The following is a 22,391-nucleotide window of genomic DNA, read 5'->3' as shown; positions in this document are numbered from 1 at the left end:
CCCAGGCTGGAGTGCGGTGGTGAGATCTTGGCTCACTGCAACCTCCGCCTCCCGGGTTCAAGCGATTCTCCTGCCTCAGCCTCCCGAGTAGCTGGGATTACGGGCGCCTGCCACCACGCCTAATTTTTGTATTTTTAGTAGAGACGGGGTTTCGCCATGTTGGCCAGGCTGGTCTCGAACTCCTGACCTCAGGTGATCCACCCGCCTCGGCCTCCCAAAGTGCTGGGATTACAGCCGTGTGCCACCGCACCCGGCCTGTATGCTCGGCTCTGGGCCTCTCAGAGGTTGGGGTCCGGGAGCCTCGTTGATCTGTGTGGGAGGAAGTCCCTGCTGTGGACGCTGGGAGCCGGGCCACCCGCGTTGTCCCCAGATGGGTCCTCTTCCTTCTCCCTCCCGTGCAGACATCGACGAGTGCCGGGACCCAAGCTCTTGCCCGGATGGCAAATGCGAGAACAAGCCCGGGAGCTTCAAGTGCATCGCCTGTCAGCCTGGCTACCGCAGCCAGGGGGGCGGGGCCTGTCGCGGTGAGGGCGGGGCCCGGAGCCGAGTGGGTGGGGCCGTCAGGTGCCTCCCCCAGTCTGGCTCCGCTGGGGGCGGGGCGGGGTAGCGGTGGTGATTGGCGTCTGGGGGCGGGGCCTTCCGGGAGTAGAGGCTGCCCTCTCAACCCCGCGTTCCAGGGAAGAGACCCACACCCCCGCGAGGTGCGCGGTCCGCCTTCCGGTGGGGCAGAGTCCGAGGCTAGGTCTTTCCGCCGCAGACGTGAACGAGTGCGCCGAGGGCAGCCCCTGCTCGCCTGGCTGGTGCGAGAACCTCCCGGGCTCCTTCCGCTGCACCTGTGCCCAGGGCTACGCGCCCGCGCCCGACGGCCGCAGTTGCTTGGGTGAGCGCCAGCACCCCCGCCCCGGGCCTCCGCCGCCCCCTACGCGCTGAAGCCGGGGAGCGGGTCACGCTGTCTGTAAACAGTGGGTGGAAGGTGGCTCATTCATCCCCAGGTGACTCTGCTCACTCATTTTCTCAACGAACTTTGCCAAGGAAGGCACCACTAGAATTTCCACGTAGGAAGGGTCTCGGGGTAGAGCTCGAAGCTGCGTTTGCAAAGCATGTTACTTAAATTTGAAGGAAAAAAGATATCAAAGAATGAGGGCAGACGATAGTACTCCCCCCTGCACTCCTGTTTATTATACGCCAAGAGGCGGGGCTGGGGGCTGGGACTCATTGAAAACTGGAGAAGGAAAGACAGACTGTAGCATGCAGTGCTGGGCCTGGATGGAGCTGGGCTGCTTCCTGGAGACACAGCGGGATGGGAGGAAGGAGGCCTGGGTCATCTTAAAGAATCACTAGGAATTGGGCAAGAAAGGAGGAGAGGAACAGCATGGCAGGCACAGGGGTTGGCACTGGCAGATCAGAGGTGAGACAGAGGGTGGGGTGTTGGGGAACTGTAAGGAATGATCAGGCTATGGGGGCTGAGGCTGGCCGGGGAGGGACAGGTCCCCATCCCTTGGAGGGCCCCCTAAGTCCTGCCTGGGAGGTTGTGCTTCACCCAGAAGGTGTTAGAGGGCACCTGCAGCATTTTAAGTGTAAGAGTGACAAGATTTGCCATTTGTTTTAGAACGTTCCCTGCTGCTGATTGTGGAGGGAGGTCTGTTGCAGAGACTTAGGGCGGAGACAGTGGTGGACAGGATGAGTGGTGGGCTCAGGATGGCCATGAGACGATGATATTGGAGAAATATTAGACCTCCTGGGTTTTTTAACTGGATGTCAAGTGAAAGCGAGGGTGATAACGACCCCTCCCCGTTTCCAGTTTGGGTGAGTGAGGGGGTAGTGCTGCTCACTGGGAATGGGTCCTCATGCGTGGGCATGTTTGGGAGGGAAAATGCTGAGCTCCACATTGGACAAATTGAATGGATTGTGCCTGTGAGCCTCTCAGCAGGAGATGCCAGCATACCCACCTGGAATGATGGACCATGGACCGGGGGAGCTATGGAGTCTTGGGTGGGCCTGCTTAGCCAACCCAAGGTGGGTTGGGTAAGCAGAGCATCTAGCAGAGCCTTGTGGACACTGACAGTTCAGGGGCAGGCTGCGGAAGGCGTTGGAGGAGATGGTGGGGGAGGGATGGCAGGGGCGCCTGAGGGGCACCATCTGGGAAGCTGGGGAGGACATATTTCCAGGGAAGGAGGAGGATGAGCCAAGTGCAGTAGAGAGGTTCTTGTAAAATAATAACTGGTGAGACAATAAGTCTTAGGACAAGACTTAGGGGTCTGCCCCCTAATCCTACATGGAAATCCTAGTGATGCCTTCCTTGGCAAGAAGGTCCCTGGTAGCCTTGGCAGGGTAGCTTTTGGGATATGATAGGGACAGAGGCCAGAGATATGTGGGCAGAAAGTGAAGAAGAACAAGACCTGGGGACTCTTGCTCTTCCAAAGTGGGGCTTTGGTATAGGCTGAGGAGGTGATGCCAGGAGAGTGGACCAGGAGACGAGGGCAGCAGGGTCAGGAGAGGAGGGAGGAGAGCCAGCGGAAGGGACATCTCTTGCTGTAACAGGAGCAGGAGGGGAATGGATGTAGATAACGATGTTCAGTGGGTTAAGGGGGATTACCTTTAATTCTCTCAATACACAGTGAAGGGCCTGGGTTGAGTAGGGGACTCAGGAGAACAGTGGCGGTTTGGAAGTATCCCAGGGCATGGGGCTGCCTAGGGGCTTTATGGAAGTCAAAGCTTTAGAGGAGTCAGAGAGGGAGGTGCCAGCCACACGAGGCTCTGTTGGACTGAGGCTGAAGCCTGTGGGTATGTTCCAGCATGCTCAGCTTGGTGGCTGCTCCAGTCCCACTCCGCACCCAGGATCCACAGGCCACAGCTCTGACCAGAGACTGGGCATTGCCAGACAGTGAGGAGGAAGGAGAGGTGTTTATGGATCAGGGACGGGAGTCCTAGGGATGATAAGCCCTGGGCTCCAGCTGGGAACTATCAGAGTCTGGGGGTGTCAGGCAAGCTCGGAGGACTGAGAGGGAGGCCACCAAGCCCTGTGAGAGAGAAGGTGGAGGTGAGGACTTGAGAACAGTGGAAAGAAGGCAGCCTCTGAGGGCCCCAGGGTGGAGCAGATCTGAGTGATGAAAATCCCCTTGGGACCCTGAGAGTGAGGGGAAGGTCACGGAAGCCGAGAGATCCAGGAATGTGAGGTCAGAGGCTGACCTGGTTGTCCACGCGGATGTTCGAAACTCCCAGGATGGAGAGAAAAACAGAGCAGGAGGAATGAGGAAGGTGGGTGCTGACAGCCACAGGAGGACTGAGGCTGCAGGAGGCCGGCGGCACCTCAGAGGCCGAGCTCAGGCTTGGAGGGGTCTGGGATGTGGGCAACAACTGGCTCCATCAGAGAGGCCTCAGGAAAGTGTGTCCCGGGGGAGGGTCAAGTTCCTTTACTGCATGAGCAGAAGAAAGTGGGAAGAACAAGGATAGGGAGTTTATCCCCAGAGGAAAAAGGGAGCCATGGCAGGTGAGGGAAGGGTGGGAGCAGCAGTGAAAGCGGCTGGGGCAGGGAGAGAGGGCGGGGGAGGCTGGGGAGGCTCTTTAGCATCAGACCTGGCCTAGGGACCCTGGCAGCACCTGACCTGGTCGTCAGGGCACTGTGTGCCACCCAGAAGCAGGGTGAGGCCTGTGCTTCTGAGTGCTGCTGGCCTCAGCTCTGGTGCTCCAGGCCATGCGCAGAAGTGAGAAAACAGTAGTAGAAACCCAAGACCACCCAGCCTGGTCCTCTGACACCCCCTATGCCCTGCAGATGTGGACGAGTGTGAGGCTGGGGACGTGTGTGACAATGGCATCTGCAGCAACACGCCAGGATCTTTCCAGTGTCAGTGCCTCTCTGGCTACCATCTGTCCAGGGACCGGAGCCACTGCGAGGGTGAGGGATCTTAGAGCTGGGGTGCTGACCTGTCCCTCCCTACCCCAGGACCCCCACCCCCCAGGGTCCAGTCCTAATCCAGATCTCAGTTGGGGCATAGGGGCGTGGGACTGACCCAGGGCTCTGGGAGAAAGCTTTGGCTGCCTCAGGCTGGGGTTGGTGATCAGCCCCTGAGATTCTCCACCCCTTCCATCCCCTACAGACATTGATGAGTGTGACTTCCCTGCAGCCTGCATTGGGGGTGACTGCATCAATACCAATGGCTCCTACAGATGTCTTTGCCCCCAGGGGCATCGGCTGGTGGGTGGCAGGAAATGCCAAGGTATGGGGGACTGGCTGAGGGTTCCTGAGGGATGTGGCAGGGAGCAGTAATTCCCTAGACACACTGTGGCCTTTCTCCATCCATCCATCCACCCATCCAACCATCCTTCATCCATCCATCCATCCATCTATCCATCCATCCATCCATCCATCCATCCATCCATCCATCCATCCTTCTATCCATCCATCCTTCCATTCATCCTTCCACTCACCCACCCATCCATCTGCTCAGCCTTCCAGTCTTTCACCTAGAATAACAATGATCACAGTAAACATGACAGTTAGTGCTATCGTGGTGCTTACTATGTGCCAGGCACTCTGTTAAGCTCTTTACAGATATTAATGTATTGGTCTTCCCCATCAACTCACCCATACACATGCATTCATCCAACAAAAGTTTAGGCTGAGTGCAGTGGCTCAGGCTGGGGGCGGTGGCTCATGCCTGTAATCCCAGCACTTTGGGAGGCTGAGGCGGGCGGATCATGAGGTTAGGAGTTCAAGACCAGCCTGGCCAATATGGTGAAACCCCATCTCTACTAAAAATACAAAAATTAGCCGGGCGTGATGGCGCACGCCTGTAGTCCCAGCTACTCGGGAGGCTGAGGCAGAAGAATCGTTTGAAGATGGGAAGCGGAGGTTGCAGTGAGCCGAGATCACGCCACTGTACTCCAGCCTGGGCAGAGAGTGAGATTCCATCTCAAAAAAAAAAAAAAAAAAAAAAAAAGTTTATTGAGCACCTACTATTTTCCAGGTTCTGTGCTTTGTACTAGGTAATCAACAATCACCCAGGGCTCCCAGCTAGGGGAGGCCAACATGTAAACTGATTCTGACAGTTCAGGGTCCTGGGTGCCAAGAAAGGTATAGACTAATGATTAATTGCAATGGGGAGGTGAATGTTGAACTGGACTGAAACGTAAGTAGGAGTTCCCTAGGCATGGGAAAGGCAAGGCACGAGAAGTCATTCCAGGACCAAAGAGCAGTAATTGCAAAGCATAGAGATCTGGAAGGAGCTAGTTGTGTTTACAGAGGAGGGGAGGGTGCCCTGAGCACAGAGTTGGGGAGTGGAGGGTGGTCTAGAGTAAGGCGTGATGAGACCTAAAGGTATCGGAAGCTCAATTGCATTTGAGGCCTTTCCATTTGGGCTTCTGATACTTTTAGGTTTTGTAAGGTTAGTGGGAGCCACTGAAGGTGTTATGAAGGACAGCAGCTAATGTCCACATGCACATTCAGACACATGCACAGACACAGCAGACTTCCTGCTGTACATACTTTGAAACCAAAGTGGAAATTCAGGTTCTGAACTTGTGTGAGGCCCTTGAGGTGCAGCCCCAGGGAAAGAGGGGCTGGGTTTCCAGCTGCGCTACTCTTGCCCCGCAGACATAGATGAGTGCAGCCAGGACCCGAGCCTGTGCCTTCCCCATGGGGCCTGCAAGAACCTTCAGGGCTCCTATGTGTGTGTCTGCGATGAGGGCTTCACTCCCACCCAGGACCAGCACGGTTGTGAGGGTGAGTGTCCTCCCAGCTCCTCCCTCGGACTGGACAACTCCCCTGAGCTGCAGCTGGGATTCAGAGATGTGTCCTGGCCCCACCCTCCTAAATTTGGGGAACCGGAAGAAATCTCTTTTGGCTGGGGGAGTCTGGTGGGGCCAGACGATGAAGGGTCCAGAACACCACGTTGAGAACAGAGCCAACTCTCAGGAGGAGGCTAAGGGGAGCCAGGGAATGTGGGGGGAAAGACCTGTGGTGGGTGGGCAGGGTGGACAGGGCCAAGGGGGGTCTGTGCACAACCCTGAGCTGCCGTCTGCCCCTCAGAGGTGGAGCAGCCCCACCACAAGAAGGAGTGCTACCTGAACTTCGATGACACAGTGTTCTGCGACAGCGTATTGGCCACCAACGTGACCCAGCAGGAGTGCTGCTGCTCTCTGGGGGCCGGCTGGGGCGACCACTGCGAAATCTACCCCTGCCCAGTCTACAGCTCAGGTCAGGAGCCGGGCAGGCCCCTTCCCAGATCTTCAGTTTCTTCATCTGGAAGCCAAATGTGGGAAATGGCGCCCCCTGGCAGTTGGGAAATAGGCGGCGGGCTGCAGCCCTAAGCCCACGCGCGCGCTCAGTCCTGCCTCTTCCCTCCCCACGGCCGCCCTGCCCCTGCAGCCGAGTTCCACAGCCTCTGCCCAGACGGAAAGGGCTACACCCAGGACAACAACATCGTCAACTACGGCATCCCAGCCCACCGTGGTAAGCGCCCTGCGGCTCCGCCCGCCCCGCGCCCTCTCACCCCGGGTTGGGCTCGCCCGGATCCCGCCGGGACTCGCTGGGTCAGCTGCCCGCGCCGGGTAAGCCCCGCCCGCACCTTCCTCGCAGGCCCCGCCCTGTAGGCCCCGCCCCTCCTGTAGGCCCCGCCCGGGGATGGCTTCGCTCCGGTGGTGCGCCCAGCCCACGCCTCCGGGCTGCAGCTGCGGGACCGGAGCGGCCAGTGTTTGTCACCCCGCAGACATCGACGAGTGCATGTTGTTCGGGTCGGAGATTTGCAAGGAGGGCAAGTGCGTGAACACGCAGCCTGGCTACGAGTGCTACTGCAAGCAGGGCTTCTACTACGACGGGAACCTGCTGGAATGCGTGGGTGAGCTCCGCCCCCCGGCGGCCGTGGGGAAGCGGCAGGGAGACACGCGCCACCGCGCCCATCCCGGGCCTGCCCCTGCTACCCACGCTTTTCCTCCCTGCAGACGTGGACGAGTGCCTGGACGAGTCCAACTGCCGGAACGGAGTGTGTGAGAACACGCGCGGCGGCTACCGCTGTGCCTGCACGCCCCCTGCCGAGTACAGTCCCGCGCAGCGCCAGTGCCTGAGCCCGGAAGAGATGGGTGAGGCCCGGGCCGGGGAGTGGGGTACGCGGGAGGGGCGGGGCCCGGGCCGAGCTGTGACGGCCCCCACCCACCCCCTCGCTGTTCGTAGACGTGGACGAGTGCCAGGACCCGGCAGCCTGCCGCCCTGGCCGCTGCGTCAACCTGCCGGGCTCCTACCGCTGCGAGTGTCGCCCGCCCTGGGTGCCCGGGCCCTCCGGCCGCGATTGCCAGCTCCCCGAGAGCCCGGCCGGTGAGGGCGAGGGTTGGCCTTGGCCGATCCCGGGGCCCTGTCCGTCACGTGGCCCCCGCGCAGGTGGGGTGGGGCGGAGGCGGGCGGTTCCTGCCTTGGGCCCCTCCCCTGATGCCAGGTGTCTTCCGCAGAGCGTGCCCCGGAGCGGCGCGACGTGTGCTGGAGCCAGCGCGGAGAGGACGGCATGTGCGCTGGCCCCCTGGCCGGGCCTGCCCTCACCTTCGACGACTGCTGCTGCCGCCAGGGCCGCGGCTGGGGCGCCCAATGCCGACCGTGCCCGCCGCGCGGCGCGGGTAAGGCAGTCGGGGAGGAGTTGGCCGGGAGCGAGGATGGGGGCCAGGGCCCGGGGACCCGGACGTCGCTGACCAGTTCTGCTCCTCCCAGGGTCCCATTGCCCGACATCGCAGAGCGAGAGCAATTCCTTCTGGGACACAAGCCCCCTGCTGTTGGGGAAGCCCCCAAGAGGTGAGTGCTGCCGGGTCGGGCGGTGGCGGGGTTGGTAGCCTTTGGCCGGGGCTCAGTGTTGAAGTCCATATTGTTCCGGGCCACGCAGATGAGGACAGTTCAGAGGAGGATTCAGACGAGTGTCGCTGCGTGAGTGGCCGCTGCGTGCCGCGGCCGGGCGGCGCCGTGTGCGAGTGTCCCGGCGGCTTCCAGCTCGACGCCTCCCGCGCCCGCTGCGTGGGTGAGCCGGGCTTCGGGGGTGGGGGCAGGGGCGGGGCCGGTGGTGAGGAGCCGCCTGGAGGCTCAGCGAAGCCGCACCTGTCGCCCTCACCTTCAGATATCGACGAGTGCCGAGAGCTGAACCAGCGCGGGCTGCTGTGCAAGAGCGAGCGCTGCGTGAACACCAGCGGCTCCTTCCGCTGCGTCTGCAAAGCCGGCTTCGCGCGCAGCCGCCCGCACGGGGCCTGCGTTCCCCAGCGCCGCCGCTGACGCCGCCGACGCCGCCCTCGGCCCAGACCTCGGTGATCACTGAGGGATTTCCGCGAGCTCGGCCTCACTTCTGCCCCGACTTGTGGCTCGGACCCAGGGACCTTCAGGGCCCGCAGACCCTCCCGGCGCCTTGAGACCCGAGGCGCCCCTACCGGCCCCCCTCCCCGGTTAGCGGGCGGTTGTAAGGTCTCCGGCGGGCGCTGCCTGCCTTCCTCCCAGAGGGTGTTTCCTAGAAACTGATAAATCAGATCGTGCCTCTTTACCCTTGGCTTTCGAAGCAAATTGATGTTCACGTCTGACGTGGGCGCGGGCTGCGCAGGGCGGCGCCAGACCCCAGCCGCCTCCCAGGGGCTAGACTGAGCCCGGCACAAGGGGTGTGAAATAGAATTTATTGTGGCTCTGATTATGTACACGTGAGATGGCCTGGCTGGGCCGGCCGGGCTCACATGGTTTGTACAATAAATACATCTGTGGGGCGGGCTCTCCGCAGCCGGGAAGGGCCACCGCCACGGTTCAGTCCAGCTTCCGGGCTCCCAGCTTCATGGGGCCCTTGGCCACCTTCCTCTCGGCGCGTTTGGCCTCCATCTCCCGCCGCCGCTCCTCGCGCTTCTTCCGGGCCAGCTCAGCCTTGACCTGTCCTGGCGTCAGGAAGGGGAGCCCCGGTCTCAGCTCTCCAGCCAGTGCCTGCCGGGGGCCTGTAGGGGCGGGCTAGTCGGGGAGCCCTAGTCTTCAGCCCACCCAGGGGAAGCACTTACGACTGTCAGTCTCGAGGCCCTCCCAGTTGTCCTCACCCCAAGAGTCTGGCCTCGGCTGTAAAGAGAAGTGTGGGCTGCAGTGGGGCCCACTTCTGGCTGAGGTCCACCATCTCTACCCTCTCGCCAGACCTGTGCTGGGTACCTGGGTGCTGGGACGTGCAGACAGGGTAGCGAAGGGGTCGCCCTTGTCGCTGGACTCTGGGCCACCCCAGTTATACTCGCTGGCCAGCCGTGTACCGTCAGGAGGTGGCTCCTGGGAGCTTGGCTCCTGCCAGCCCTGTTCCCAGGAGCCCTCAGCTTCCCAGCTGCTCCAGTCGGACTCTGGGGATTTGGAGGATTTGTGGTCGGAGTTGCTGACCTGTAGAAGAGCGGGAGGGGGAAGTAGCCCTGGGCCCAAGGAGGAAAGAGCCCCATACACACACCTCCCCACCAGACCCAGCTCACCTGACTAGCACGGCTCACTTGGCCCCCGGTGCTCCAGTCGTCCTGCTGGGCCAGCACAGACTCGGCCTCCTGCTGCAGTGTGGGAAGGGACCACTGACTCCCACCCCATGCTAAAGGGCAAGTGAGCCCGCCCCAGCATCATCCCAGCCACGGGCCCCACCACTGTCTTTTGCCTTCCTCCTCATTTGCTCCTCAGGCCCTGTTTCCCATCTATTAAATGGACGCTGACCCTGGCCTGCCCTCACCCCTCTTTAAGGCTGGGGAATGAGATCTAGATGCCCCTTCCAACAGCCTTGAGGGCCAGAAACTGCTGCTGTCAGCCAGATGGGGAAATTGGGCCCCCAGCTCTGCCCCATTCTGAGGACAGCCCCAGTCCTCCCTCAGCCCAACCTGAGCCCATCCCCCAAGCAGAACTGGTCTGGTTCTAGACCCAGGAGTGGCCTCTCCTTGCTGACCCCCATGGCTGGGTGGGCACTGGAGGAGGGGAAAGGGGGACGGTGTGGGTAAGAGTGAGGAAGTTCAGGGAATGCCCCAGGCACCATCTGCCTAGCCTGCTCCCTGGGGCCGCTGGGGTTGAATGGGGCCTGCTGCTGGCTCTGGCCTACAATGGCCACTCCATGAGGCCTACGTGCCAGGGATGCTGTGCTGATGAGGACAGGCCAACTCCAGCCAGGCCCCACAGAAGCTCCCTGAATGGCAGCCTGTGGATTTGAGCTGGGGTCCCCTGGGGAGGCTCCCTCAGCCCCACACACCTCCAGGCTGCCCCAGTCTTCGTCGTCCCATCTGTCAGCAGTGCTGCTGTCCTCTGCTGTGTCCTTGTCCTCCTCCTGCGTCTCCCAGTGGCCTGAGGTTGTAGGGGTGGCAGGAACAGGGGTGGGGGCTGGGGCAGGAACTCCTGGGGAGCAGAGGCTCACTGAGCTTTCAGGGGGGTCTTGGGACAGGGCAGAGGCTGCTAGGGGAAGGGGGCTACTGGGGGGAAGGGGCACCAAGGAAGCCCACAGGGTGACTGGAGCCTACCCAGCTCCTATATCCCCTTCACCATCCCCGGGGGAGTCAGACAGTAAGAGTTCCTGGGTGCCTGCAGCTCTCAGCCCTCTCAGCCACTGATGCAGCTAGGCCAGGACACTCACCTTCAGGCGTGGGTCTTTGGGGAATGTTGGTTTCTGTTGGGGCAGTGGTTGGGTGCGAACGGATCAGCTTGGAGGTGAGTGAGGAGACCCCGGTCACGGCCCAGCCTGCCCAGCTAGCTGCGGCTCCTCCCATGCCAGGGCTGGAGGCTGCATGGACATCCTTCTCTGGGCAGTGGCATGAGAGAGAGGTGGGTATGGGCACGTCAGGCACCCATGGGTGACAGGACAGCAGGAACTGACAGTGCCCTGCAGCCACCCCTCCTTTCTCCAGGCCTGATTTCTCCCATCTGTGAAGGGGGAGCTGAGTCAAGTCTGCTCACTAGGACCTTTCAGAAACTCCAGTGGGGGTGGGACACAAACAGGTCACAGTCAAGGACATGGCAGGGAAAGAGGGAACACGAGTGTAAGCCACTCACCCACTTCCTCCAGCTGGGTCGGGTCCTCCGACACAGACTCCAATTTGGACAGGAAGCTCCGAATGGCCTTGAAGGCCTGTGGGGTAACGAGGCAGAGCTGGGGTCTCTGGGGTTCCCAAGAACCTACCAGGCCAGCTAGGGGCTGACATCCCCTACAGCCCCAGCCCAGGGCCCAGGCCCAGCTGTGCCTCACCTGGTCTCGCACGGATTTCTCAGGATCTACAGTGAGACCGCAGAGCACAGGCAGGATCTTCTGGGCACAGTCGTTCATTGAGTAGAGGTTGTGGGTGGCAGCAAAGCCCAGGACACCCGCAACCCGGGACGGTGCAAACGGGTCCCTAGTGGCTCGGCTGAAGGCAGAGGTAAGGACCCTGTGTCTGGTCTACGATGGGGCAGGAAAGAGGGCTCCTGAGTGTAGGGTCAATGTTGGGACCCAGAACCACCAGCCCTTACTTCCCAGAATGGGACCACCCATAGGTCCCCAGAATCTGAAAAATATGAATGAATCACTTAAATGGGGAGAGTTGACCTAAAACTCTGGACCTGGGCTTCTCTTCCCAAATCACTGGGTTCCACACTGCCTCAGGGCATGGGACCACAACAGCAGCTGTCCCCAGGGCTCGGACACAGGCTCCCTTCCTCCCTGCCCAGCTGACCGTTCATTCCTGTTAACTGTCTGGGCACGGCAAGCAACTGAACTTACAAACCCTGGCTGAAGGGATGCACACAGGCCATGGGGCCAAGCACGCCTGGATTCAGATCCCAGATCCCTCCTGACTGTGTGACTTCGGCCAACTCACTCCTCCTCTGGGAACCCAGATATGGGGCCAACAGCGTGCAGGGTCTAAGTCTCTGGGAGAATGAAGGCCCCCACACACAAGACTCCTGGCCCTGGAGGAGGCTGTGGTCCTGCGACAGGGACCGGGCTCCAGCAGTTGTGCAGGACACTCACGCTAGCACTGAGGTAGGAGCCGATTTTGCCCAGGCAGACTGTGGTGTTGCAGCGGATGGGGCCCTGTTCATCCTTGGCCTGTAGCCGTGCAAAGTGCTTCATCAGCTCCACATTGAGGTTGGCCTCGTTCAGCTTTGGGGCCAGGAGCAGCATGGACTGTGGGGCAGAAATGAGTGGGAACTGTGGGCTGTGGCGGGCAAAGGGCCTTGTGCAGGAACAGCCTCCTGGCAGCCCTCATCCCAGAGCACACCCATCAAAGCCTGCAAGGCCACCTCCCAGCCTGGGCCTGGCCCTGTCCAGCATGTTGAAGAAAGGGACCCCATTTCTGTCCCCCTTTACAGCAAAACCTCCAAAGTCTGTCTGCACTCCTGTTTCCCATTTCCTCTGCTCTGCTCTCCTGATGGCACTCCACCTAGACTCACACAAACAGCCCCACACTCTGCCAAACTGGCTCAGGGTGAGGTCACTGATGCCCTCCCCGGTACTAATTTCAACAGCCAGTTCTCCATCCTCACCAAACTTGACCCTCAGCAGTTCTGACACCCCTGAGTTTTCCCTCCCTGAAACTTTGGTCTCTGGTCTTCCAGGACACCACCCCCTCCTGGTTCTCCTCTGACCTGGCTGGCTGCTCCTTTTGCTGAGACTCTAACGTTCACACACCCGGAGCCAATCTAGAGGGCTCTTTTCTATCTAACACTCTTGCCCTAGGTGATCTCAGCCATTTCATGGCTTTCAATGCCATCTTGTGAGCTGACAACCCCCAGGCACATACCCCTAGCCCAGACTTCCCTAAATTTCACACATGCATAACCAGTGGCCAACTCGACATCTCCATCCAGCTGCCTAACAGAAACAGCCAAGATGGGGCCCAACATGCTTGTGTCATCTCAGTAAATAGCAACTCCTAACCTTCCAGTTGCTCAGGCCACAAGCCTCAGAGCCACTCTCGTCTCCGTATCTTTTTTGTTTCTGAGATAGAGTCTCACTCTGTCACCCAGGCTGGAGTGCAGTGGTGTGATCTCTACTCACTGCAACCTCTGCCTCCTGGGTTCAAGCAATTCTCCTGCCTCAGCCTCCTGAGTGGCTAGGATTACAGGCGCCCACCACCATGCCTGGCTAATTTTTTTAATTTTTATTTTATTTTATTTTTTTGAGACGGAGTCTTGCTCTGTTGCCCAGGCTGGAGTGCAGTGGCGCGATATCGGCTCACTGCAAGCTCCATCTCCGAGGTTCACACCATTCTCCTGCCTCAGCCTCCCAAGTAGCTGGGACCACAGGCGCCCACCACCATGCCCGGCTAGATTGTTTTTGTACTTTTAGTAGAGACGGGGTTTCACCATGTTAGCCAGGATGGTCTTGATCTCCTGCCCTTGTGATCCGCCCACCTCAGCCTCCCAAAGTCTGGGATTACAGGTGTGAGCAACCGGGCCCAGCCATTTTTTGTATTTTTAGTAGAGATGGGGTTTTACCATGTTTTACCATGTTGGCCAGGCTGGTCTCAAACTCCCATCGCCTCAGGTGATCCACCCGCCTCGGCCTCCCAAAGTGCTGGGATTACAGGCATGGGCCACCAGGCCCGGCCTAAAATAATTTCTTAAATTTTGAGATGAGGTCTCACTCTGTTGCCCAGGCTGGAATGCAGTGTCACGATCACAGCTCAATGCAGCCTCAACCTCCTGGGCTCAAGCTACCTACCTGCCTCAGCCTCCCGAGTAGCTGGGACTATAGGCGTGCATCACCATACGCGCCTAACTTTTGTATTTTTTTGTAGAGATGGGGTTTGGCCATGATGACCAGGCTGGTCTCCAACTCCTGGGCTCAAGCGATCCTCCCACCTCGGCCTACCAAAGTGCTGGGATCACAGGCGTAAGCCACTGCGCCCAGCCCCTGACCACTGTTTTTAAAACCACAAACTCTTCTCCCCACACTTTCCAACAATGCATATTTTCTTTCTTTTTTTGAAACAGAGTTTCCCTCTTGTTGCCCATGCTGGAGTGCAACGGCATGATCTCGGCTCACTGCAACCTCTGCCTCCCAGGTTCAATTGAGTCTCCTGCCTCAGCCTCCCGAGTAGCTGGGATTACAGGCATGCGCCACCATCCCCAGATGGTTTTGTACTTTTTAGTAGAGACAGGGCTTCGCCATGTTGGTCAGGCTGGTCTCGAACTCCTGACCTCAGGTGATCCGCTTGCCTCAGCCTCCCAAAGTGCAGGGATTATGGGCGTGAGCCACCGTGACCAGCCAACAATACATATTTTCTAATTCTGTTGTATTGTCTGGCAAGCCCACCCTCTGTGCCCTGGAAAGGAAGCTCCATGAGTGCAGGGGGCTGGGCACCTCATGCATGCTGCCTCCCAGCATGGGGCTTGGGCCAGGAACAGGCAGATGCTCGTTGTCTGCTGAATGGAGGACGTGCTCCCCCGCCAGCTGCCGAGCTGCACCCACGGCCTGAACCCACACAGCAAGGACAGTGTCTGCTTGGACCCATGGGCCAAAGCCAAGGCCTCTGTGTCTAGGGTGAGCCCCTCCAAGCCTTGGAAAACCAGGGGTAGCCACTCTGGGCCTGGCCACACCCACCTTGACCGTCTGCTCCCGGATGGCAGGGTTGGTGTCCAGGAAGCCATGTACGACGTGGGGGAAGATCTGGGTGTTGACTGTTGGCTCGTCAAGGTACTGGATGAACTGCTCCATCTGTGGCCCAGGTTGGGATGCGTCAACATGGTCAGCCCTTCCCACTCTATCCCCATAGCCATGGAACCGCTCCTGGCTTAGCTTTTCCACCCAGCAGGCACTGGCCAGCCAGGTCAACCTCCTGAGCCACCACCCAGGTGTTTGGCCTCAGGCCCAGGTGGAGGAGTGAGGAAAGGCCAGGAGGGCGCTAGGAAGGCCTGGCTCATAGTCCGGCTCATCTGGCCACCCTCTCAGAGCCTCTTCTATTTTTTTTTTTTTTTTTTTTCTGAGACAGAGTCTTGCTCTGTCACCGAGGCTGGAGTGCAGTGGCGCAATCTCAGCTCACTGAAACCTCTGCCTCCCAGGTTCAAGCAATTCTCCTGCCTCAGCCTCCTGAGCAGCTGGGATTACAGGCACCCACCACCGCACCTGGCTAATTTTTGTATTTTTAGTAGAGACGGGGTTTCGCCAAGTTGGCCAGGCTGGTCTTAAACTCCTGACCTCAGGTGATCTGCCTGCCTCGGCCCTCCCAAAGTGCTGGGATTACAGGCATGAGCCACTGCGCCCAGCCTGAGCCTCTTCTATAAATGAGGGTATCACCCCTTCCCTGCTCCTCCCCACCTGCCCACAGTGCCACGAGGAGGACTGGTGTGTTTGGTGGTCACAGAGGGAATGGCACTGGGAGCCACTGGTACTTCCTAGATCCCATCCATCTTGTCTGATGCTCCCAGCTGCCCTGGGGTTGCAGGAGAAAGACTGTATCCCCACTCTAGAGGGCCAGAGTGACTGAGCCAGGAGAGGAGGGGGCATTAGAGCGCTGCAGCCTGGGCAAGCTGGCCATTCCCAAAACTGCCAAGGAGCCCTGTATGTGGCCAACTTTCTGAGAGCCTGGCCTCATTGGGTCCCTCAGTTGTGTGTATGTTCAGGGGTGGGGTTTCTGGGGTCCCTGTGCAGCCAGGGCAGGTGCCTCCCCAGCCACCAGGTTGGGGTCTGGGTGGACCACCACAGAGTCTGGTACAGAGGCCTCACCTGCTGCAGGAGGCGGATGCGCATGGCCCGGTCAGTGGATGAGAACATCTTGACCACCACAGGGATGATCTTCTGCTGATACTCCTCAGCGCTCAGGAACTTGCCCACCTGAAAGGGCAGGAAGATGGGTTCAGCTGCTCACAGGAATGGGCTGACTTTGCTGGGCTTATCTAAATTCCTGGGGCTGATATCCCAGGGTGGGAATGAAGTGATGGCGGAGGGGGGGGCAGGCATTTCCTCAGTAGCTCCTCTACCCATATTCCATCTCAGCCTTGCCCTTAACCTTTCTGGGCCAAGGCCTCTTTCAGGAGGCTGATGAAAGCTCTGGGCCCCTCCCTACAAACAGGTACCTTTATGCCATATGCAGAAATTCTGCCTGCAATTTCTGGGGGTTCTCAGCTATACAGGACTTGCTTGTTGTCTTCTCCCCTCCTGACAAGTCTTTCAGATGAAAGGGTTCTCCCCAAGGTGAGGAGGGCAGGGAATGCCAGGTGCCCATAAAAAGGCGGGCTGGGGTCTGAGGAAAGGGTGGAAGATCCAGCCCCCAGAAGTCAGGTGAGCTGAGTGCTAAGCAGTCAGGAGGGAGGAGGGCAAAGTGGGGTGGTGAGTAGGTAATCCCCTGGGCCCTGGGAACCAAGGTGCACAGGTCAGACCCGGAGAAATGGAGGAAGGGCTGAGGGTTGTGAAGCCAGAGGTTTGTGGAAAAAAGGATTTTAGCGGCAGAGTCTCTCCTCCCCAGGGGACAGCTGGTCAGGTACCTGTTTATAGACACTGGCAGGAAGCTCCTGCTCATATGGGCTTGGGTCTGCCCTAAACAGCCTGCCCTACCCCAGGGCCTTCTCTTTGGCAGTTCCTGTGCACCCAGCCAGCCTTCTGGACCCCACAGTTCCACTCACCTTGAAGAGGGGCGTGAGGACAACGGCCCCAGCATTGCCGAACTCGAAGGCGGTCAGCAGCTGGGGCAGCACCTTGTGCCGACAGAAATCCTCAGGGAATGCGTCCAGGCTCTTGCTCAGCTCCTGGAAGAATTTTTGCTTCTCGGCTGGCTCTTTGATCTGGGGGAGTGAGGACGGGACCCGGGGAAGAGATCAGCCTGGTTGCAGCCCAAACCCAGCCATGGGTGAGGACAAGGAGAAGTGATGCTTATGGGCCTTATGGGCTCTGGAGCCTGGCTGCCTGGGTTCAAAGCCCAACTGTCCCACTTACCTGCCATGTAAAATGGGATAACAGCTCTACCATCTACGGGATAGTTCTGGGATTCAACCAGAAAATGCACATAAAAGCTGCAGAACAGGCTGGCACACGGCAGATGCTCGGTGGGTTAGGGACTGTTGCTGCCATTGCGGCTACCTGACCTGTTGCTGGGAGAGCAGCCACTAGGGACAGCAGAGGCATCACTAAGGGCATCAGGCCCTTTATCAGTGTTGCCTCTACTGCTCGCCACCCAGGATGTGAGCACAGAGGAGGAAACTGAAGATCAAAGAGGTGAAGGGGCTTACTTGGTTTCCCTGCCCTGGCTGGATTGGGCAGGAAGTTCCTGGTAGGCCGTGGGAAGGCAAGGATTAGGTACACTTTACTCCCAGACCTCATCCTCCCACTGAGCCAAAATGGACCAGCCTGTAAGCTCAACGGTCTCCTTTAGTCCTCCTAACCCCCCTTTGAGGCCATAATACCCCCAATTCATATTTCTGGAGCACAGATTATGTGCTAAAACCTTTACACAGATTATCTCAGTCCTCTTCACAACTTTACCAGGTAGGTGCTAATGTAATCCACATTTTACCAACAAGGAAGCTGAGGCACAGAGAGGGCAAGGAGCTTGTCCAAAGTCACACAGCTAAGAAGCGGTCAGAGGAGGGTCTGACTCACTGGTTTGGCACCTCTCCTGTGCTGTACCCTTCAAAAGATGCTGTCACTCCCCCCATTCACAAAGGAGGAGACAGAGGGTCAAGGTCAGCAGCCAAGAGTGGCCAGGCAGGGGTCATGACCCAGTGTTGTGTTCCAAAGTCCCTGTGCTCTCTGTTGTACCACCACCCCCATAGCCGCGGCTTGGCCGGGGAGAGGCGACCTCTGGCTTGGGACAAAGAGGACCTAGATGGCCCTTGAGCAGCTCAGACCAGCGTGGGAGGCCGGCTTGGTGCTCTGATCACATGGTTCAGCGGGGCCAAGGCCCAGAGAGGCTAAATCACATCCAAGGTCATACATCAAGAGAGTAGCAGCTGGGTTCTCCCCACCACTCCACCTAACAATGGGAAGAGGGGCCCCTGGGCACTGCCCTCCCATGTTCTCCTGGAGGCTCCCGAAACCCTATTTCCTATGGGGTACACTTTAAGGAGAAGGGTAGCTTGGCAGAGCCAGCCGTACGAGGAGAACTCCACGTAACAAAGTTCCTGCTGCCCCGACACTGCCCAGGAGGCAACGGGGTCTCAGCGTTTCCAGCAGCTTCTCCTTCCAGGTTTCCACCCTCCAAAGGCCCTCCCCGCCCCACAGCATCTGAGTCAAGATTCCATGACCTCTGCTGGGTCAGGGTCTGTGGAGTGTCTGCCACTCTCCTCCCCTGCTCCTGATTCTGATTCTCAGCCCCCGCTGTCTTCCCCACACACGGCTGGGGCCGGGCATTGCATAGAGCAGAGCCTTCCTCCCTCCTCCCTACAGCAACCCTGCAGGCCAGTGCACCCAGATGCTCCTCACTATACACATGTGGAAACCAAGGTTCAGAGGCAAAGCAGAGGGCTCCCTCCTCAGTATCTCTCCACGTGCTGTCGCCTCTGCCTGGAACTCTTACTCCAGGTACCATCCCTCTGGCTCCCACAGTCATGTCCTTCAGGCCCCAGCTCCAATGTCACACTTCAGAGAGCCCATCCCTGAATACCCACTCCAGTACTTTCCTTCCTGCACTGGATTTTTCTTTTCTTTTTTTTTAAGACTGAGTTTTGCTCTTGTTGCCCAGGCTGGAGTGCAATGGTGCGATCTCGGCTCACTGCAACCTCCTGCCTCCCAGGTTCAAGCTATTCTCCCGCCTCAGCCTCTGGAGTAGCTGGGATTACAGGTATGCGCCACCATGCCTGGCTAGTTTTTTGTATTTTTAGTAGAGACGGGGTTTCTCCATGTTGGTCAGGCTGGTCTCAAACTCCTGACCTCAAATAATCCGCCAGCCCCGGCCTCCCAAAGTGCTGGGTTTACAGGCGGGAGCCACCGCACTGGCTGGTTTTCTTATTTATGGTGTTCTTTTGTTTGTTTTGAGACGGAGATTTGCTCTTGTTGCCCAGGCTAGAATGCAATGGCACAATCTTGGCTCACTGCAACCTCCACCTCCCAGGTTCAAGCGATTTTCCTGCCCCAGCCTTCCTGAGTAGCCGGGATTACAGGCATGTGCCACCACTCCCGGCTAATTTTTGTACTTTTAGTAGAGATGGGGTTTCTCCATGTCGTCAGCTGGTATCGAACTCCCGACCTCAGGTGATCCACCCGCCTCAGCCTCCCAAAGTGCTGGGATTACAGGCGTGAGCCACTGCACCTGGCTCTTATTTATGGTTTTTATGTTTTCTGTCTCTTCCCCAGCAAGAGTTCCCAAGGTTGGGGATCTGGTCTGTTTACTTTTTGCTAGATTCTTGAGGACAGTGATCTAGGTCCGCCTCACCTTCCTCCACACCGTGCTGCCCACCCCCCTGCAGCCAGTACAGGGTGTTACACCCCTGGGGACCAGAGCCAGAATGTACACGTGGAGTGACTGGAGTAACCAGAGCTGGCCCTAAATGCCTGCTGGGCACAGAACACTATACCACACATTTTCAATTCTGACTCCTCACTGGGTCCCTTTGAAGTAGGTACAGGTTGAGTCTCCCTTGTCCAAAATGTTTGGGACCAGAAGTGTTTCAGATTTCAGATGTTTTTTGGATTTTGGAATATGTGCATTATACCAATTCAACATCTTTTTTTTTTTTTTTTTTTTGAGACGAAGTCTCACACTGTCGCCCGGGCTAGAGTGCAGTGGCACGATCTCGGCTCACTGCAACCTCCGTCTCCTGGGTTCAAGTGATTCTCCTACCTCAGCCTCTGGAGTAGCTGGGATTACAGATGCCCGCCCAGCTGATTTTTTGTATTTTTAGTAGAGATGGGGTTTCTCCATGTTGGTCAGGCTGGTGTCGAATTCCTGACCTCAGGTGATCCACCCACCTCAGCCTCCCAAAGTGCTGGGATTACAGGCATGAGCCACCGCGCCTGGCTCCAATTTAACATCTGTAATCCAAAAAAATCTGAAATGCAAAATGCTCTAATGGGCATTTCCTTGGATTGTAATGTTGGTGGTCAAAAAGTTTCCAGTGTTGGAGTAGATCATGCATTTTCGGATTAGGGATGCTCAACCTGTACTATTATTGGGACTGAACTTCAGCCAAGGGAAGTCACAGAGTAAGTATGAGCTGGAGCCTGGGTTTGAACCCGGATTGGCCTAACTCCACAGTCCATGCTTGTCTCCTGAGGGTCAATTGTGAGGTACCCTGAAAAGCAGGGTAGGGGCAGAATGAAAAAGATAGGGTCGAAGCCCAGGGTGGGTTGGGGGCTCACCTGAATCTCCTCCAGGAAGAGGTTGGTTTCTACAAAGCGGTTGCTCATGAAGCCACCAGGTGCCCGGCAGTTCTGCAGGAAGCGGGCTGGGTTGGGACGCACCTTGGGGTTTGCTCCCACCAGCTCACAGTAATGGGGCACCAGCGTTTTGGGGATCTGTAGGGGAGGGGTCAGTGTCAGGGCAGGGGTAGCCAGCTGGCAGAGGGGCTGAGGCAGGGCAAAGAGCCAGGGGCAAGAAACTTACCTTCCCAGGGTTGCGTAGGGCTGCTGCCCGAGGTAGGGGCCCATTGAAGACTTCCCAAATGAGGCAGCCCAAGCGCCACATGTCTGCTGACCTGTGGCAGTGACCCAGAGCTCTTAGGGCCCCACCAACCACCTGCACAGGCCTCCAGCCTGCCTTGGGCACCAGGCACCCACTGCATGCCAGGGCCTGGCTATGTCCCTCAGCTGAGCCATCAGTCCCAAGAGGCAGGTTTCATTAGCCTCACTTAACAGATTAAAAAAACCAAGCCTCAGAGAACTAGGCACATCTGTCCAGGTCACAGAGCTTTCAAGTTCAGAATCACCCAACCCCGAATGCTGTGTCCATCCCGCCCTACCGCCCTGAGGACCCTGGGGGCAGAGGAGTGTCCCTCACTCCTGGGACACTGATTCCCTCCCCAGCCAGGCAGCAGGGAACAGGGGAGTGCCAACTAGTCTAGGAGTCCTGAGGCTGCAGGGGCCTCCAGGACAGGGCAGGTTGGGGCGCGCTGCCCCCAGTCACCCACCACTTCTCTCTGACCACTCTGCCACTGCTGTCAGCCAACTCCGGGGGGTCATACTGCTCAAGCTCGGGGATCCCCTTGCGGGGAGGTCCCCCACCGTTGCCCTGGGCCGAATACATGTAGTCCAGGCCCCCAAGCTTCCACTCGCCAGCTCGGTCCACGAACACGGCGGCCATGCAGACATTGTTGTGGATGAGGCTGCAGTCGTTGACCAGGAAGCTGAGGGCTTTCTGGGGGCAAAAGGAGCCATCACGCCCCAGCACCTGCAACCCCCCATCCCTGCTCTCATCACCACTGCCCCCCACCTCACCACGATCTGGTGTAGCCCCCAGGAGATCTCCAGCTCCTTCAGGCCACCAGCCTCCACTCTCGCCTTGAGGTATATTCCCAACGGGGTCACAGCCTCTGTCACGACGTGGAGGCATTTTTCTGTCTGGGGAAGGGGACACAGGGTTATCAAGGGCGGAGGGGCAGAGAGGAAGGAGAGATAAGCGACTTGAAGTTGGGAGAGATGGGGAAGAGGAAACCAAATCTGGGGGTGCTGGGGCACATAGGGTGGAAACAGGGCAGGAGGGGAGACAGGAGTGGGTAACCAGGACATCGTGAGGGGCAGAGACGGGCAGGCAAGGCAGCAGGTACCTCCAGTCCATCGATGTAAGCCAGGATGTTGGGGTGCCGTAGAGTTTTGAAGCGCTTGAAGGCAGCTTTGGCCACCTGGGTCTGCTCTTCCGCGCCAGGCTTCACATCATAGACGAAGATGGACACGGGGCTGCCTGTGGCCTAGGGGAGGGCAGCGGGGCCTGAGATGGTCCCAGAGCTGTTGTGTGGCCGGAAGACAAGGGCCCGCAGCCAGGTCTCTCCCCAGGTCAGCCTTAGGGACACTTCGCCGGGCCCACGTGACCCCGGCCCTGTCCGCCTGTCGGTCCCTCGGTCCCTCCGCCCGCCACGTAGGCACTGCCCGCCCCCTCCCCGGCCTGCTACCCCTTGGTTCCGCCGCCACGTCAGGCCGGGCGCAACGCGACGGGGTCGGCGGCGCGGAATAGGCAAGGCCCAGGTCGACCGCGGCCTACGGAGCTCGGCCGCACTCACCTTCTTGCGGCCGCGGTGCAGGGCCCAGGGCCCGGGCAGGCCGCCCTCTGGGGGCTCCGGGATGAGCTCGAACGGAAAGTCCCGGACCGGGTCCCGGGCAAAGAACCACATCGTCCCCACCGCCGCCGCGGGTTCGGGCGCCTTAGCTCCGGGTCCTCCGGCCGCCCGAGCCGGGGCGGGGCGGAGAGGGGGCGGGGCCTGCGTCAGACGGGGGCGGGGCCCGGGGGCCAGGGCGGGGCCTACGTCGGGGCGGAGCAGGACGTGAATTGGGGCGGGGTGGGGCAGAACCTGAGTTGGGGCGGGAAGGGGCGGGGACAAGGGAGGGGCGGGAGAG

The 22,391-nt window shown here is 59.0% G+C and overlaps 2 protein-coding genes across 39 annotated transcripts in view, besides 12 other annotated features; one reads left to right on the top strand and one right to left on the bottom strand.

Moving 5' to 3' along the window:
• The window catches only part of LTBP3 (latent transforming growth factor beta binding protein 3), a 19,801-nt gene extending 11,038 nt beyond the window's left edge, over positions 1–8,763 (top strand). For 2 of the 3 annotated variants that reach the window (NM_001164266.1, NM_021070.4), the window contains exons 15-27: positions 402–524; positions 758–880; positions 3,773–3,895; positions 4,098–4,217; positions 5,594–5,722; positions 6,029–6,196; positions 6,368–6,451; positions 6,708–6,836; positions 6,940–7,077; positions 7,441–7,602; positions 7,694–7,774; positions 7,863–7,994; positions 8,091–8,763. In NM_001164266.1, coding sequence (NP_001157738.1) covers positions 402–524; positions 758–880; positions 3,773–3,895; positions 4,098–4,217; positions 5,594–5,722; positions 6,029–6,196; positions 6,368–6,451; positions 6,708–6,836; positions 6,940–7,077; positions 7,441–7,602; positions 7,694–7,774; positions 7,863–7,994; positions 8,091–8,242 — 1,664 coding nt within the window. In that variant the 3' untranslated portion in view covers positions 8,243–8,763. Of the gene's footprint in view, positions 1–401; positions 525–757; positions 881–3,772; positions 3,896–4,097; positions 4,218–5,593; positions 5,723–6,028; positions 6,197–6,367; positions 6,452–6,707; positions 6,837–6,939; positions 7,078–7,168; positions 7,310–7,440; positions 7,603–7,693; positions 7,775–7,862; positions 7,995–8,090 lie in introns of all 3 variants that reach the window. The other variant, NM_001130144.3, reaches the window with a different exon arrangement.
• Positions 232–301: a silencer, noted in NCBI's record as "silent region_3534". NCBI's record gives its function as "represses an Ori minimal core promoter by ATAC-STARR-seq in GM12878 lymphoblastoid cells {active_cell/tissue: GM12878}" and the evidence as "EXISTENCE:reporter gene assay evidence [ECO:0000049][PMID:35858748]".
• Positions 432–731: a silencer, noted in NCBI's record as "silent region_3533". NCBI's record gives its function as "represses an Ori minimal core promoter by ATAC-STARR-seq in GM12878 lymphoblastoid cells {active_cell/tissue: GM12878}" and the evidence as "EXISTENCE:reporter gene assay evidence [ECO:0000049][PMID:35858748]".
• Positions 742–1,011: a silencer, noted in NCBI's record as "silent region_3532". NCBI's record gives its function as "represses an Ori minimal core promoter by ATAC-STARR-seq in GM12878 lymphoblastoid cells {active_cell/tissue: GM12878}" and the evidence as "EXISTENCE:reporter gene assay evidence [ECO:0000049][PMID:35858748]".
• Positions 6,144–6,193: an enhancer, noted in NCBI's record as "active region_4987". NCBI's record gives its function as "activates an Ori minimal core promoter by ATAC-STARR-seq in GM12878 lymphoblastoid cells {active_cell/tissue: GM12878}" and the evidence as "EXISTENCE:reporter gene assay evidence [ECO:0000049][PMID:35858748]".
• Positions 6,410–6,704: an enhancer, noted in NCBI's record as "tiled region #4001; K562 Activating DNase matched - State 1:Tss". NCBI's record gives its function as "activates a minimal TATA promoter and a strong SV40 promoter by Sharpr-MPRA in K562 cells {active_cell/tissue: K562}" and the evidence as "EXISTENCE:reporter gene assay evidence [ECO:0000049][PMID:27701403]".
• Positions 6,410–7,203: a biological region, named in NCBI's record as "Sharpr-MPRA regulatory region 4001".
• Positions 6,444–7,203: a silencer, noted in NCBI's record as "silent region_3531". NCBI's record gives its function as "represses an Ori minimal core promoter by ATAC-STARR-seq in GM12878 lymphoblastoid cells {active_cell/tissue: GM12878}" and the evidence as "EXISTENCE:reporter gene assay evidence [ECO:0000049][PMID:35858748]".
• Positions 7,254–7,453: a silencer, noted in NCBI's record as "silent region_3530". NCBI's record gives its function as "represses an Ori minimal core promoter by ATAC-STARR-seq in GM12878 lymphoblastoid cells {active_cell/tissue: GM12878}" and the evidence as "EXISTENCE:reporter gene assay evidence [ECO:0000049][PMID:35858748]".
• Positions 8,310–8,813: an enhancer, noted in NCBI's record as "H3K27ac-H3K4me1 hESC enhancer chr11:65305980-65306483 (GRCh37/hg19 assembly coordinates)". NCBI's record gives its function as "activates a minimal SCP1, AML or CMV promoter by ChIP-STARR-seq in naive H9 embryonic stem cells {active_cell/tissue: H9 hESC(naive)}" and the evidence as "EXISTENCE:reporter gene assay evidence [ECO:0000049][PMID:30033119]".
• SCYL1 (SCY1 like pseudokinase 1) lies at positions 8,618–22,239 on the bottom strand. 36 transcript variants are annotated; one of them, NM_001425203.1, is made up of 18 exons: positions 22,058–22,239; positions 21,608–21,768; positions 21,279–21,401; positions 20,972–21,198; positions 20,449–20,539; positions 20,205–20,360; positions 16,535–16,693; positions 15,639–15,746; positions 14,517–14,630; positions 11,940–12,095; positions 11,181–11,369; positions 10,988–11,063; positions 10,572–10,736; positions 10,194–10,336; positions 9,442–9,513; positions 9,140–9,355; positions 8,998–9,052; positions 8,618–8,880 (listed from the first exon to the last, which is right to left on the bottom strand). In NM_001425203.1, the coding sequence occupies exons 4-18, from the start codon at positions 21,142–21,144 to the stop codon at positions 8,756–8,758; spliced, it is 1,998 nt and encodes a 665-aa protein (NP_001412132.1). In that variant the 5' UTR covers positions 21,145–21,198; positions 21,279–21,401; positions 21,608–21,768; positions 22,058–22,239; the 3' UTR covers positions 8,618–8,755. The 36 variants fall into 36 exon arrangements, with proteins under 36 accessions (NP_001412132.1, NP_001412133.1, NP_001412134.1 ...); NM_001425204.1 differs by having other exon boundaries at positions 9,442–9,510; NM_001425205.1 differs by having other exon boundaries at positions 10,194–10,285.
• Positions 8,814–9,318: an enhancer, noted in NCBI's record as "H3K27ac-H3K4me1 hESC enhancer chr11:65305475-65305979 (GRCh37/hg19 assembly coordinates)". NCBI's record gives its function as "activates a minimal SCP1, AML or CMV promoter by ChIP-STARR-seq in naive H9 embryonic stem cells {active_cell/tissue: H9 hESC(naive)}" and the evidence as "EXISTENCE:reporter gene assay evidence [ECO:0000049][PMID:30033119]".
• Positions 16,872–17,040: a silencer, noted in NCBI's record as "fragment chr11:65297753-65297921 (GRCh37/hg19 assembly coordinates)". NCBI's record gives its function as "represses an EF-1alpha promoter that drives an FKBP-Casp9 reporter gene in an ReSE screen in phorbol 12-myristate 13-acetate-treated (for megakaryocytic differentiation) K562 erythroleukemia cells {active_cell/tissue: K562(+PMA)}" and the evidence as "EXISTENCE:reporter gene assay evidence [ECO:0000049][PMID:32094911]".
• Positions 21,892–22,391: a silencer, noted in NCBI's record as "silent region_3529". NCBI's record gives its function as "represses an Ori minimal core promoter by ATAC-STARR-seq in GM12878 lymphoblastoid cells {active_cell/tissue: GM12878}" and the evidence as "EXISTENCE:reporter gene assay evidence [ECO:0000049][PMID:35858748]".

This window comes from Homo sapiens, chromosome 11, assembly GCF_000001405.40.
Source record: "Homo sapiens chromosome 11, GRCh38.p14 Primary Assembly".
In the NCBI taxonomy this organism is placed as follows: domain Eukaryota; kingdom Metazoa; phylum Chordata; class Mammalia; order Primates; family Hominidae; genus Homo; species Homo sapiens.
Note: the sequence above shows the minus strand (reverse complement) of the source record. Positions and strands in the feature narration are given on the sequence as shown.